Source organism: Homo sapiens, chromosome 3 (assembly GCF_000001405.40).
Source record: "Homo sapiens chromosome 3, GRCh38.p14 Primary Assembly".
NCBI classification, from domain to species: Eukaryota; Metazoa; Chordata; class Mammalia; order Primates; family Hominidae; genus Homo; species Homo sapiens.
The window spans coordinates 70,256,815-70,272,754 of record NC_000003.12 but is presented as its reverse complement, the minus strand read 5'-3'; the positions used below and the strand labels follow the sequence as shown (position 1 = coordinate 70,272,754).

The 15,940-nt window shown below is 38.1% G+C and overlaps 1 protein-coding gene and 1 long non-coding RNA gene across 5 annotated transcripts in view, besides 1 other annotated feature; one reads left to right on the top strand and one right to left on the bottom strand.

Annotated features, from left to right (window-relative positions):
• SAMMSON (survival associated mitochondrial melanoma specific oncogenic non-coding RNA) overlaps positions 1-15,940 on the bottom strand; it is a 435,002-nt gene that overhangs the window by 161,835 nt on the left and 257,227 nt on the right. The window lies entirely within an intron of this gene.
• Positions 1-15,940, top strand: part of MDFIC2 (MyoD family inhibitor domain containing 2) — a 118,160-nt gene that overhangs the window by 39,884 nt on the left and 62,336 nt on the right. The gene's annotated exons all lie outside the window — the stretch shown is intronic.
• Positions 8,003-8,297: an enhancer, noted in NCBI's record as "tiled region #3399; HepG2 Activating DNase matched - State 9:DNaseU". NCBI's record gives its function as "activates a minimal TATA promoter and a strong SV40 promoter by Sharpr-MPRA in HepG2 cells {active_cell/tissue: HepG2}" and the evidence as "EXISTENCE:reporter gene assay evidence [ECO:0000049][PMID:27701403]".

Genomic DNA, 15,940 nt, shown 5'->3' with positions numbered 1-15,940 from the left:
TAGAGGAAGGATAATAATGTTTGTACATTCCAGCAATGCAATGTACTCTATCTAAAATCAAAATTCAAATTGTGCTGAGCAGTTTTTTATAAAGTTAAACATACACCTGCCATTCGACTGGGCAATTCTACTCCTAGGTATTTACCCAAGAGAAATAAAAACATATGTCCACGTAAAGACCTGTACGGGAATGTTTATAGCAGCCTTATTCATATTACCTAAAAACAGGAAACATCCAAACATCCATCAGGGGAGAACAGATAAACAAATTTTGGTTTATTCATACAATGGATTATGCCCCAGCATTGCAAATGAATGAACTCAACAACACGGATGAACCTCAAAAGCATTATATTGAGCGAAAGAAGCCAGACACAAAAGAGTACATAGTGTATGAAATCTTAGGAAAGGCAAATTTAATCTATAGTAGCAGAAAGTGATTGCCTGGGGGCTGGCTGGTAAGGGTGTGATGATTGCAAAGGAGCGTAAAGGAGCATCTTGGGGAGATAGAAATATTTTTCATTTTAATTGTGATGGTGTGCACTTTTGTCAAACCCCCACTATGCATTTGGAATGGGTACATTTTATTGTATGTACATTACATATACTTCGGACAAAATAAATGTGCTGAGCAACTCTGGGCATGTGATATTTGGGGATTGTTGTTATTTCCTTAAAAAAGTGTTAGCCATAGCCAGACACAGTGGCTCACACCTGTAATCCCAGCACTTTGGGAGGCCAAGGCAGGCGGATCACCTGAAGTTCAGAGTTAAAGATCAGCCAGGTCAACATGATGAAACGTTGTCTCTACAAAAATACAAAAATTAGCTGGGCATGATGGCAGGTGCCTGTAAGCCTAGCTACTCAGGAGGCTGAGGCGAGAGAATCGCTTCAACCCGGGAGGTGGAGGTTGCAGTGAGCCGAGATCACGCCATTCCACTCCAGCTTAGGTGACAGAGCAAGACTCCATCTGAAATAAATAAATAAATAAAAAATAAGTGTGAGCCATAGCAATTTTGGCCACTGTGATTTAGGGCTACAATTTCATTCTTTCAGATGCTCAGATTCAAGGCTCTGCTGTGCCCCTAACTCCAGAGACCTTCTTAGATGAGTCAGTTTCTTAGCTGGGTCTATTGTTTTGGCTATAAGATGAAAGTAATGGACCAACCAGAATTTGCCAACTGGTGGCCTGTGAGTCAAATTTTGTCAACATTTGCAAGGCCAGGGTGATGTTTGTTAAATAGTTAAGCAAAATAACATTTAAAATTCAGAAATTTGTCATACAAATTCCAGACTTCTGGCTTCTCTGAAAAACAGATTTGATGATACTGAATCTGCATCCCAAATGGTTCCAGTGAGCTGGAACCATTGGAGTTCCACCAGTGAGCTCACCAATGGAGGTGAGTAGCCACAACACAGTTTATTTGTGCATAATGCTCTCCAGTTTACTCTGCTTCCTACCAGGTCCTTTTCATGATTTACTTACCTGCCTAGTCCTGGTCATCTTGAGTTTGCGAACCCTAAGGTAGATCAATGATAAATAACAGATCCTCAAGATAATTAGGTTGGTGCAAAAGTCATTACTGTTTTTGGCATACTTTTAAATGGCAAAAACCACAATGACTTTTGCACCAATTTAGTATATACAACTTCCCAGCTTCGATAAATGGCCTATGATTTAATTTACTGTTTTTTTTTATTTTCAATATTTCTTTTTTATTATTATACTTGAAGTTCTGGGATACATGTGCAGAATGTGCAGGTTTGTTATATAGGTATACATGTGCCATGGCGATTTGCTGCACCCATCAATCCATCATCTACATTAGGTATTTCTCCACATGCTATCCCTTGCCTAGACCCCCATCCCCTGATAAGCCCTGGTGTGTGATGTTCCCCTCCCTGTGTCCATGTGTTCTAATTGCTCAACTCCCACTTATGAGTGATAACTTGTGTTTTTGGTTTTTGGTTCCTGTGTTAGTTTGCTGAGAATGATGGTTTCCAGCTTCAACCGTGTCCTGGCAAAGGACATGAACTCGTCCTTTTTATGGCTGCATAGTATTCCATGGTGTATTTTAAAAATACAATTTTAATATATTAAAGATCCATCCCAGGAAGTCACTCACTCCTGTATATACATAGAGAAAACCCTGGCCAGCTGTGAAATTCCAGCCAACTTTCTGCAAACACTGAACTCAGACTAAGAAAGCAGCCATGTATATACATACTTGAGAAAGTTTTAGTAATTAAAGTACCCCAGTACTGACAATAATGAGAGGTAGCCACTGTCAACAAGTGAATGAAACACAAAACTTAGTGCTTAAACAGATCTTGTATTTATATGTGTTTGGTCTGTGTTTTTCTTTTCTTTTTAAAAAATTTAATACTAGTTTAGGGATCAGGGTTATATATTCTTTGTACATCTATTTTTGGAAGCTGTTTTTATTTATTTCCCATGCTTTGAAATATTTTGTAATGTGCTAGGATTTGCTGTACCTTAGAAACTTGAAAGAACTCATTTGTAAAACCAACTGGTCATTGAGACTTCCACCACTTTTTTTCAAAGTTGTTAGTCTATTCTACTTGTCTACGTATTCCAAATTTCAAAATAATCAAACATTTCAAATGTATGTGCATAATGCTGTGGATGGCATCATTAGATTTCTTAGAACATTGTATTTTTGCTGTTCTTCATTACCTGAAGGAAAAATAAACTCATGGATTTATTTATCACTGTACTCTTGTCCAGTTGTTTGTTTCGATCTGTTTTCCCTTCCTTCTCTTTATTTGAGGATCATTTTCTTTTTCACATTTCTTGAGATGAATATTTATTTCAGTTATTGTCACTTAAGAATAGTAATTTTTCTAAGTTTATATTTGACTTCTTCCTTAAGTTTGGATATTTAGTGTTATCATGGCCTTTGTTTTCGAAATGAGATGTGATTTCGTTTAAATTTCTTCTTTGTCCTTTTAGCAATTTGGAGAATAATATTTAAACATTCAATAGACTAGGCATTTTTTAAAACAGTTTTGTCATTAATTCCTAGTTTTTTGCCACTATATTAAATATAGCTAGTACATTTTCTGCTGTTAAAACAAAAACCTTAGACAAATTAAATTAACATAATTTAATTGAACAAAGAAAAAGTCAAGAACTGGGCAGCCCCTGAACCAAAATTGGTTCAGAGAGACTCCAACCCTGCTACGTGGTCAAAAAATATTTATGGACAGAAAAAAGAAAATGATATACAGAAAATGGGAGTGAGTTACAGCCAGATTGGTTAGAGTTCAGCATTTGCCTTACTTGAACATGGTTAGAACAGTTGACTGCCTTTGATTGGCCAAAACTCAGGGATTGAGACCTAAGTAGGTTACAGGGTGTCTATGTATCCAGACAGGTTACAGTTCAGTATATTCATAGAAACCTTTAGCTCGAATGTGAAATATATAATGAGCCAGCTTTAGGCTAAACTTAATTTAACACTGCTTTTTGGAATTTATTGGTTCTTTTATGACCTAGCCTATAATTGATAATTAATTAATTTTTATGAGTATTGTATGTGAATATTCCAAATAAATATATTCCACAGATGTTTAAAAATACCTATTTATCTGATATGTCAGCCTTGTAAATATTATTATTCCACTCTTTACTCTTTATATATGTATATATTTTTTAACTTTTGACAGGTTGATAAAGGGACAATAATATATCCTATCACAATAGAATTCTTTTCTATTTCTTTTTTTATTTAAACTTTGTAATATACAAGAAGGTTAAGATTTTTCCTGGTTCAAAGGAGAGCACTAAATTTTAATTGCTTCCATTGTCAGTTATTAATAGAGGCCATACATAATATGTGCTCCAGAAAAAATAATCCTCATAAACTGAGATTTTATAAATTTATTGATACAAAATATTTAGTAAGAATAGTTTGTTTTGTAGATGAAGGAAAAATATTTATGATGCAAATAATCAGATATAAAGTAGATACTTCATTGAAGTATTTCTCTAAAGCAGATGCCAAAATCAATAGATTTTAAAAAGAAGCTCTTAAAAATCAGCTGCAAAAACAAAAGAAGAGAGAATACTGAAAATTTAATGGTTTGACAAAGAAAGCTACATGTCAATATACATTTGTCCAAACCCATAGAAGGTACATCACCAGAGTGAACCCGAATGTGAACTATGGCCTTGGAGTGTTGATGTGTCAGTGTAGGTTTATCAATTGTAACAAATGCACCATTCTGGTGGGGATTTTTTTTTTTTTTTTTTTTTTGAGACGGAGTCTCGCTCTGTTGCCCAGGCTGGAGTGCAGTGATGCGATCTCTGCTCACTGCCACCTCCGCCTCCCGGGTTCAAGTGATTCTCCTGCTTCAGCCTCCCAAGTAGCTACGACTACAGGTGCACACAACCACGCCTGGCTAATTTTTTGTATTTTAGTACAGACGGTGGGTGTTTCTCCGTGCTGTCCAGGCTGGTCGCGAACTTCTGCGCTCAGGCAATCTGCCTGCCTTGGCCCCCCAAAGTGCTGGGATGACAGGCGTGAGCTACCGCGCCCAGCCGGAGAATGTTGATAATAAGGTGGCTGTGCATGTGTGGGGGCAGGAGTATATGCGATATCTCTGCACCTTCTGCCCAATTTTGCAGTGAACCTAAAACTACTCTAAAAACAATGAAGTCCTTAAATATTGGAGAAGAAGGAGGAGGAGGAGGAGGAGGAGAAAGAGGAAGAGAAGGAGGGGAGGAGAAAGGGGAGGTGAAAGGGGAGGCGAAAGGGGAGGCGAAAGGAAAGGAGAAGGGGAAAGGAAGGGAAGGGGATGGGAAGAAAAGGAAAGGAAACTGGGACCTTGGCTCAAATTTTCAAGTCTACTTTTCAAAAGGTAAACAAGTTATCTGGATATATTAGTAATCATATTAAATTTCCATTTTTTACCTAACAAAACTTGTTTCCTAAAAACAACTGAACTCTCATCCAGTGAAGACCCTTTATCTGAAATCTTTTACTGTGAAGCTGCCATTAAAAAATGCTATTTTAGGCTGGGCGGGGTGGCTCTCGCCTGTAATCCCAGCACTCTGGGAGGCCGAGGCAGGCGGACCTCGAGGTCAGGAGGTCAAGACCATTCTGGCTAACAGGGTGAAACCCCGTCTTTACTAAAAAAAAAAAAAAAAAAATACAAAAAATTAGCCGGGCATGGTGGCGGGCGCCTGTAGTCCCAGCTACTCGGGAAGCTGAGGCAGGAGAAGGGCGTGAGCCCAGGAGGCGGAGCTTGCAGTGAGCGGAGATCGCGCCACTGCACACCAGCCTGGGTGACAGAGCGAGACTCCCGCTCAAAAAAAAAAAAAAAAAAAAAAAAAAGCTATTAAAAAAGAATCTGTACAAGAGAGTAGAGTCTATAATCCTGTAAAGGTAGGTCTCATGGAAAACTTGATACTTAGATGATATTTTTTAGAATATGGTAGAAATACCTTCACAATATTAAGATTTACCCATCAATTCTTGTTTTGCATTCTGCCCTTCGTAAAAATGAGACTTCTTTTACTGTCTAAAACATAAGGGGGAATTAAGTATAAAATCCCTACATAATCAATCAGAGAAAATTTATAAAAATAGAAGCTTGGTACTTCCTATTCTCCTTCCCACCCCCTCCCCAGCTAGCAATTTTGGGGAGTGACCCAACTTCATTCATTGGCACGACATTGCTCAGAAGGAAGCTATTTCATGAGAGTTTAGCTAAGAAAACTATGACCGGAAAATGTTGGCAGTCTCCATCCAAGCATGTTCATATGTGAAGGCTCCTCAGCCAACAAATTTCCAATAATCTAATCCCATTGCCAGGCCATGCCTTCTGTGGCAGGCAGTGGATGTGTCAGACGAATGATTCCAAACTTCTCCCTTAATGGTGTTCACTATATCTGTGTACCTTCTGGACTGATATCTACTAATTTGCTTTGAAGCTGATTCATGTTTCAAATACTATAGAAATATATTTTAAAAGAAAAGTATAAGCCAGGTGCAGTGGCTCACATCTCTAATCCCCACACTTTGGGAGGCGGAGGCAGAAGAATCTCTTGGGCCTAGGAGTTTGAGACCAGCATGGGCAACATAGGGAGATCCTGTCTTCACTGAAATAAAAATAAAAAAATTAAAAATAAAAAAATTCACCCTTGTGTGGTGGTGTGTGCCTGTAGTCCCAGCTACTCGGGAGGCTGAGGCAGGACTCTGGATCACTTGAGCCTAGGAGATGCAGGCTGCAGTGAGCCATGATTGTGCCACTACTCTCCAGCCTGGGTGACAGAAATGAGACCCTGTCTCTAAATAAATAAATAATAATATAATTTAAAAATATATATCTCTATGATAAGTAGAGAAGTGAAGCAGTTACAGTTGCCCCAAAATGTTTATATTTAATAACGATTACAGTTTAATCAAAACAGTGTTGAGCTATATGAATTAAAAATTTGACATTAGAAGTACATAATTAAATATAAGTCATAATAGGTCACATCAACTCACAAAAATACAAAGCTGAAAATAAGTTCCTCCTTCAATAAAAAAACATAAATGTTTGTAAATATTTTTAATAAAGCAACATTCTGCTTAAGGCTACTAAACTGAAGAAAAAGATATAATAGCCAAAATAGTGTGAGAGACTGGTTCAATAAACTTGGCTCAAAAGACAAAGAGATTTCTCATTCTCTTTTCTGAATAAGCAAACTTTTTTGGTGATATGATTAGGCTTTGTGTCTCAACCTAAATCTCATGTTGAATTGTAAGCTCCATAATTTACACGTGTCAAGGGGGAGACCAGGTGGAGGTAACTGGATCATGGATATGGCTTCCCCCATGCCGTTCTCGTGACAGGGAGTGAGTCTCATGAGATCTGATGGTTTTATAAGTGTCTGGCATTTCCCCGGCTGGCACTCATTCTCTCTCCTGCCACCCTGTGAAGAGGTGCCTCCCATCATGATTATAAGTTTCCTGAGGCTTCCCCAGCCATGCTGAACTGTGAGTCAATTAAACCTTTTTTCTTTGTAAATTGCCCATTCTCAGGCAGTTCTTTACAGCAGTGTGAGAATGGACTAATACATTTGGTAAGGTGCAAAGCACATGGAGAAAATGTCCCTTATCTGCTTACCTTTGCCAGTCAGTTTGAAAAAATATTAATGAAGCACCTTGATAATGCAACCCCACCCTAAAAGTCCTGAGATGGCTGGGAAGGTTCGCTCATGAACTTGTGTGTTAGTGTGTGTGTGCAGGGAGTATGGAGGTAGCATGGAGCAGGGTGGGGTGGGTTGGGGTGGTGGTCATCAAATCCTAAAATCAAGAGATTTCCTGCCTTCTCTGCAATCTCCATCTTCCTTTACCTTTGCTCCAAAATTGATGCCTTTCCTGCTCTTGCATTCCATTAGTGAAAAGAATATCACACTTGGGAGAATATCTCACTAGGTTAGTTTTTTCTCCCTTCTTCACCTGAATACTTCCTTTCAATCCCCTATATCTCAACTTAAATATGATTTATCCAGAGAGACTTACATGAACACTAGCCTACTTTACATTCTCCCCCTGATATGGTTTGGCTGTGTCCCCACCCAATCTTGAATTGTAGCTCCCATAATTCCCACATGTCATGGGAGGGACCCAGTGAGAGGTAATTGAATCATGGGGGCAGGTCTTTCCTGCGCTGTTCTTGTGATAGTGAATAAGTCTCACGATATCTGATGGTTTTATAAAGGGGAGTTCCCCTGCACATGCTCTCTTGCTGCCACCATGTAAGATGTGACTTTGCTCCTCATTCACCTTCCACCATGATTGTGAGGCATCCCCAGCCATGTGGAACTATGAGTCAATTAATCGTCTTTCCTGTATAAATTACCCAGTCTATGGTATGTCTTTATTAGCAGTGTGAGAACAGACTAATACATCCCCGATGTCCCTACACACACACCCAAGAGTTTCCATAGCTCCCTGTATTTTCCCTATCATGAGATTCATCACACTGCTATTATTCCCTGTTTAATATTTGTCCAAGAATTCTGTTATTATGGGACTGCATCTGCCATGTTCACTGTGTTTAGCAAAGTGAGTCTTTAGCAAAGTAAATGGCATACTTTCAGTGCTCAGTAAACATTTGTTGATGAGATGAGTGACTTAGTATATGGCCTGATGCCAGCAACTGTTTGACTCACCCAACTCACTTTGTTCAAAGTCCATGCTCACCAATAAATTCTCATGGTTATTCTCTAACAGGGAGAGAATATGCTGGTCATGTGGACTCAGGCACATTGATCCTTGTGATCTGTTAATTAGCAAGCCGATATTCAGTTCTTAGACAGTCATTGGATAAGCCCTGTTGCTGTGTTTGCCCTCTAAAAATAAATCCACTCTTAGAAGACTAAACAAGAGCAGATTTCTAAATATGTAAACGTGATAAAGGCCTGCATTGTGGCAAATTGCAAAAGTATACTTAACTAGAGAGACAGCAGATAACACGAAGGCCTTTTTAAGGTCAAGAGAGGTCAAGAGATGTTCAAGTCATTGCCATTGCCATTTTTATTTACACCATCTGTATATATTTTAAAATGAATAAATGCAAAACATATGCTACATTTTAAACATATATATTTTGTAATCATTTAAAAAGTAATCCTTTCTGGAAAAATATTAAATGCAAAGTGATTGTGCTAGACACAAGATGATTACAGAATTTATAACATAATGATAATTCATAGTAAAGTTAACTGCTTCCAGTCATGACAGAGTAGGAGAGCCTGAATCATCCTTCTGCTGTTGACACCTAAAGAACTAGAAATAATGTATTCAACAACCATTTGAGATATTGGACAACAGCAATTGCAGGACTGTGAACCCCGAGAGAAAGGAAACAAAGTGAGTTCCACCATCGCCCAGACCTTCTGCCTAGGAGTAATTTCTGGACTGTGATATAGCAACGGGAACCCAGATGGAGCCAGACAGTGTTACTGAGATGAAGGAAAGACAAATTGAAATTTGGGGAGGCAGAGAGGATAGAAATTTATAGGGCAGAGAACCCAAGAGAAGGGAGCTCGGTAGATAAATATTTTATAAATTTGCGTAGGGCTCCCTTGAGTCTTTTGCTGAATACCATCTACATGTGTGAAGTGAAACCCTATGAGGCTAGGCATGACAAACTTTCTGGGAAAGAACAACTACTAGAGATCTGTCAACCAAACATTTTCCAGAGATCTTTCAGGGCTGAAAATTACTTGAATTCCCAACAGCCCAAGAGGAGAAACATCTGTGAGTATGGGAGCATTCAGGGTCACAACTGCAGAAGGATCACACCTTAGAAAAGCTAAATTAGCTCTAGAGTAATTATTCCTATAGACCTACCCTAAAAGAGTTTTAAAATAAAATTAAAAAGAACTATATTGATCACAATTGTCACTAGAACAAAGTCAAATACACTTAAAAGAATATTTTTTTAAAAACCAGCACTCGATAACATAAAATTTATAATACCCAGCATACAGTAAAAATTACTGAAGAAAGAAGAAGCAGGAAAATATGATCCATAACCAGAAGGAAAAATCAGTTGGTTAAAAACAGAACCATTAATGACAAATATAGAGTTTATAGTCAGGGTATCAAAACAACTATTATAAATCTGTCCTATATGCTCAAAGATATAGAGGAAAGACAAACATAAAGAGAGAGATGAATTACCTAGAAATAAATGAAATAAAATTTTTAGAGAAATGCAATACCTAAAATTAAAATTTCCCTGGATAGTATTAACAGCAGGTTAGACAATACAGATAGGAAGAGCAGTGAATATGAAAATGTAGCAACAGAAACTATCCAAAGCAAAACACAGAGACAAAAATATTGGGAGAAATAAAACCCAACCTTATTGACCTGTGGGACAATATCAGGTCATCTAACATAGTTTTGAAGGAGAGGAGAGAGATGGAACATGGAAAAATATTTGAAGAAATAACAACTAAAGATCTTCCAAATTTGATGAAAACTATAAACTTACAGATCCCGGAATCTCCAATAACCCCAAGCAAGGCAAGCATGGTGCATGCGCCAACCCTGTTATGTGACACAAGTGTAAAATTTGAGAGTCAATGACTGCTTGCTTTGAACCTAGCAGAATATTTCTGTAATATAATATTACATGCAACTTCATTTGGAAATAACTTCAAAATTCCTTTATTATGACAGTAAATAAGGCCCACATGAAACGGCATTCCAGAGCCCCCAAGCCATCCCCATAATAAACACTGAAGAGCTCTGCATTTACTATAACTGGTCTTATTTCATTTCTACAGTCTTATTAAGAATGCATCCGCATCTTTTAAAGAACACTGATTGAAGTTATTGTCCGTTATATTTTTCTCATTAAAACTTATGTTATCAGATGGTGAGGCTCAGCAATGCATCATTTTCTATTTTGCGTTGGCTCCTTGGAAACTCAGAGTTAAATTTTGTTTGAAGCTTCACTGCCTGTTTTCAGTCTCACGTTATTGGTATAATTATTCATGCATTTTCATCCTTTCATCATATGATTTTTGTTCTTTCATCTTTATTTGATAATTCTATTGAAAGTATTGTTACCGAGCAGTGGCCTTGCTGCTCAACACACATAGAAGGCAATACTGTCGCACCAGCTTTTGAGAAAAGAAAAGGCTTTATCGTGAGATTGACCAGCAAGGACACATGAGGAATGGCTCAAATCCGTCTCCTCTATCTGGGGTTAGATCAAACTCTTATGGGTAAGGAAGGACAGGTTGGTATGCAGAAGTGCTGGCAGGGCAGAGTTCAAGGGCTTTAAACTTGGCCGTTTATGGTAAGGTATGAAACAGTGGATTTCAGCCCCGGATCTTCTTGGATAACAAACCCCTTGTTTCTAAAAGGGTTCGGGCATTCAGGTTCCAGTCACATCCTAGTCTTCTTGGTTCCACGGGGAGGAAATCTTGGTTTCAAATGCTATTTGAGGTTAAGGCTTTCCTCCTCTGCACATGCCCAGGTTATATGACTTGCAGTTTTGGCTTTGCTACATCTGCAAGATAACTTGGCATTCTGTTTTCAACAAAATAAGGCCAGTTTTGGCTGGTCCTGCACTTATGGTAGAAATTGTTGAAAGTGAAGAAAGCCCATTCAGGCAGGGATGTCAGGGAAACCAAAAAGGGTGAGCATGGTACCTTGGAACTAGCAATGATATGGAAGTGAGTCATTACCACGGAAATTGAAATGTAATTATTAATCAGGATATAGAGAATGAATCAAGGAAAGTACAAACACAACCATGGAGGGAAGTTGCATCTGAAGTGCTAGATGGCTGCAGCTGATACAGTGAGAGTGAAGCTGCTGAGGTTTCAGATTAAACATATGCATGTTCACATCAACTTTTTTTGAAGCATAGTTGTTAGATTATGATGAAGGGACAAGCCAAGAGAGCAATAAGGAGAAAGCCACACTGCACTAACTCTCTTAAAAGAGATAGCATGGCTTTGATTTTAAGAATCCAAGATTGACTCTTGTGAATGATTCAAAGCTTTGACCACCAAATGTCTTTGAGTAAATTTCAAGCAATGCATAAGGGAACCAAACTGAAATACAATATTATCTGCTAATGGACATCTGATTTTTGTGCCTTTTTTCTAAAATTAATGGAATTGAACTTTAAATAAACGTTGAAGTGCTTATATTCTTACTGTTTGAATAATTTGTGCAAGGTCTGTTTCATGTCAAGCGGAATTTTTCAAGAGACCTGGGGCCCACAAGTTCTGCAAATATTATAAACTTGAGAAAATCACTTATCTTCCCTGGACTCAGTTTCTCCATCAGCTAGAAGTATATTGGTCCTGATCTCAGCAGGAAAAGATGGTACATTCTCTAACTGGAGGAGAGTTTATAAAGGGACTGCTTTTAAAAGGGTGGGCAGATGTCTGGGAACCCACCAAGAGGGACAATAGTACCTTGGAGCTAGCAATAATTGAGAAGTGAGTTCATTACCATCCCTAAATCTGAAAGTGAAAGGGGAGGGATAAGTTATAGGTATCCCAGGTGCTGAATCTGGAGAGAACAGCTGTATAAAGAGGGCAGTCTGACAGAAGTTGTAACCTTTCATGGAGTGATGCAGCCACTAGGGAACCTGAAAGGAAAGATTAATAAATAAATAAAATATGCAGACCTTCCCTTCCTCCCATCCTCTGGTCTCATGATAGGGACTCCTAGCCCTTGACTTAACACAATCAGAAGATGATAGGGAATGGGGCTGTTACGAGTTGAACTGAGGGGATGTAAAAAATATGTTGAGGTACTAACCCCCATTACCTCATAATGAGACTTTATTTGGAAATAGGGTTGTTGCAGATGTAATTAGCTAACTTAAGATAAAGTCGTACCGGAGTAGAGTGGGCCCCTAAATCCAATATGACTGGCATCCTTATAAGAAGTGGCGATGGGAAGACACAGACACACACAGGGGAAATGCCGTACGATGACAAAGGCAGAGATTGGAGTTAGGCAGCTGCAAACTAAGGAATGCCTGTGATTGCTGGCAAACCACTAGAAGTTAGGAAGAGGGCAGGATGTTTCAGAGGGAACATGGCTCTGCCGACACCTTGATTTCAGATTCTAGCCTTTAGAACTGTAAGCCAATTGATATGGTTGGGTTTTGTGTCCCCACCCAAATCTCATCTTGAATTATAACCTATAATCCCCATGTGTCAAGGGAGAGATCAGATAGAGGTAATTGGATCACGCTGTTCTCGTGATAGTGAGTGGGTTCTCATGAGATCTGATGGTTTTATAAGTGCCCCTTTCCCCTTCACTTGGCACTTCTCCTTCCTGCTTCCTTGTGAAGAAGGTGCCTTGCTTCCCCTCCACCTTCCACCATGATTGTAAGTTTCCTGAGACCTCCCCAGCTGTGCTGAACTGTGAGTCAATCAAACCTCTTTCCTTTATAAATGACCCAGTCTCGGTCAGTTTTTATACCGGTATGAAAACAGACTAATACAACAATACATTTCTGTTATTTTATGCCACCCAGTTTGTGGCACTTTGTTACAGTAGCCATGGGAAACTAATATGGGAGCCCACTGATGAAGACCTTACACGTCAGACTTTCAGGGTGTAGAGATGGTTAAAAGAAAGCAGAAAGTGAATTTGGAGGAGTAAATTAAAAATATTTCACAGAGGGGTAATCCAGAAAGCCCTGCATGGCTCTGATTTCTGAAACAGCCATGAATAGAGCAGACAGACTCCCTGCCCTTCAAGTGCTTGCGTGCTACCTCCCAGACCTGGGTGTGAGGTTTGGTGCTTACTTTCTTTCTTTTTTTTTTTTAAAAGTCAATAAATTTTTATTCAAGGAATTCCATGTTGTGATTTCTTCCACTGTCTATCAAGGTCACTTTAGATCCTCTAAAGAGCTGGAGTCAAAAGATGGTGCTTACTTTCTTTAAATGGATAAATGTCAGTTTTCTCCCAAAGTAATGTGAAATTCCAACTCTTACCTCTTTCTTGTAGGTTTTTAGCATAGACTATGAATAGAATGTGTTCTGGGAAATGGCTAGAGCTCAGGTTGTAACTGGAAAAAGGACCACATATGAAAAAGGGCCTTGTCTGCCATCCTGAGACATTCAGAATATAAACTGAGTGCTAGCAGGAGGTACCGTATAATTTCAATGAGCAAACTGACCTGATAAGCACATCAACTGTATCTTTCTCTAATTAGCACTAACTTGAGTACCTTTATTATATATCTTGCACCCTTCTTTATCTTTTTAGCAGTTTTTCAAATATATATTTAAATTTCAATGATAAAAATAAGAGATTCACTGTGAAAAAATTAAAGAAATTGAAGAAAAATTTAATTTAATTTAAAAAATTAAAGAAAAATTCAATCATAGGGTCATCACCTGCTCTCAGCGTTTTTGTGTGCCTCCTTCTATGGTTATATTTTATTGGCTAAATAACACTTTTTGCAAGGTTCCATTTCCCTATTGTTTGTTATTTTTATAATTTTAAAGTTTTCGCTATTAAAAACATGCTTCAATTCACATTCTTATACATAAAGCTTTGACTGCATAGTTTCTTTTTACTTTCTATAAATTTCCAGTAGTGTGAGAGCTAAGTCAGAGCATATGAATATTTTAAAAGATTGTGCCAATCAGTATTCCCTGTTTACAATGGATAGAAATTCAGATCATACTAACTTAAAAAAATGAGACTCTACTAGCTCATGTGACTGGATAGTCTAGAAATGGATCTATCTTCAGTTTCGGTTGAACCCAGAGGTTGTAACAATGTAAGTAAATCTCTCTCTCTCTCTCTGTAAATACATATTTCTGTATTCTCAATTGAAGTTATTTTTCCAATAAATGAACTGTAAATATTCTCTTCATATATGCTCGCTTTTTATTTTCTTGATGGTATTTTTCAAAGAGCAAAGATTTATAATTTTGATGAAAGCCAATTTATTAAGTTTTATGGCTCATGCTTTTGGTGTCTGATCTAAGAAATTGTTGCCCACCCTATTGCTCAAAGTTGCAAATATTTTCTCCTATATTTTATTCTAGAACATGATAGTTTTTGCCTTACATTTAGATCGATGATCCATTTCAAATTAATTTTTTTGTCTATGATGTGAAATGAAAGTTGGGATTCATTTAACTTTTCCTTATGAATATCCAGATGTTCTTCTAGCACCATCTAATGAAAAGACTCTCCATTTCCCCCATTTAATTACCTTGACATCTTTGTCAAAAATCAATTGACCATAGTTACATAGCTTTATTTCCGAACTCTTCATTGAGTCTTATTGATGTATATGTCTATCCTTACACCAATACCATGCTGTCATGATTATTATAGCTTTATTGCAACTTTGGAAATCAAATAGTAAAAGCCTTTCTGTTGTGTTCTGTTTCAAAATGGTTAAGGCTTACCTAGATCTATTGCATTTCTACACATGCCTGCTGCTGGGATTTTTATTGGGATTGCACTGAATACATAAGTCATTTGGCAGAGGATTGTCATGCTAACAGTATTGAGTCTTCCGATGCATGAATAAAGTATGTATCTCCATTAATTTAGGTAGTCTTTAACTTCTCTAAGCAATGTTTCATAGCTTTTAGTGTTCAGGCCTCACATATACTTCCTTAAATCTCTTCCTCAGTATTTCATGGGTTTTGATGGCATTGCAAAGCGTATCTTCCTCTAATTGATTTTCCAGTTCTCCCTCCCTTCCTTCCTTCTTCCCTTCTTTCCCTTCCTCCCTTCCTCTCTTTGTCCATCTTACAGCTCTGCTCATTTGTGATTCTTCTTTGCTTCTTGGCCACATTCTCTCCTGCCATGAACAGGTTCTCTGCAAAAGAAATGATGGCTACTGACATTCCTAAACCTAATTCCTTAAAACCCATGATCCAAAAAGGGAAGATTCTTCCCCAATATCTCCATTACCAAATTACCAAAGAAGTCTATTCTTGAACTTTTTTGAATGGCCAGATGTGCCAGGTTTTAAGGAATGGGGAAGGGTTTGCCAAAGAAACCTGTCCCAAGTATAGGGAAGACCAAATGTATAGTTCACAAAATTTCCTATGATAATCATGACATGTATTATCAAATCATTTTCTAGAAAAGTAGCGCTGGCTTTAAACAGTATATAAATATCCTCTCTCATTTTTCATGGTCTATGCTCTAATCCTGCTTTTCGCCATCAGATCTCTGAATTATTATGATATTCTCTCCACCACTGGACTTGCCCTCCTCTCCTTCGCTCAGCCCATAGTCGGGCTTTTCCTTGTGCTTCACAGGGTGGACCAATTATAATCCATTTCCCAGGGAAGTGAGAACATGTGCTGAAATCCCAAGCATCCATCTACAGAAGTTTATTTAAGCTTCTAGTTGCAGACATAGGTGAAACAGCCCATCTACTTTGCATTCCA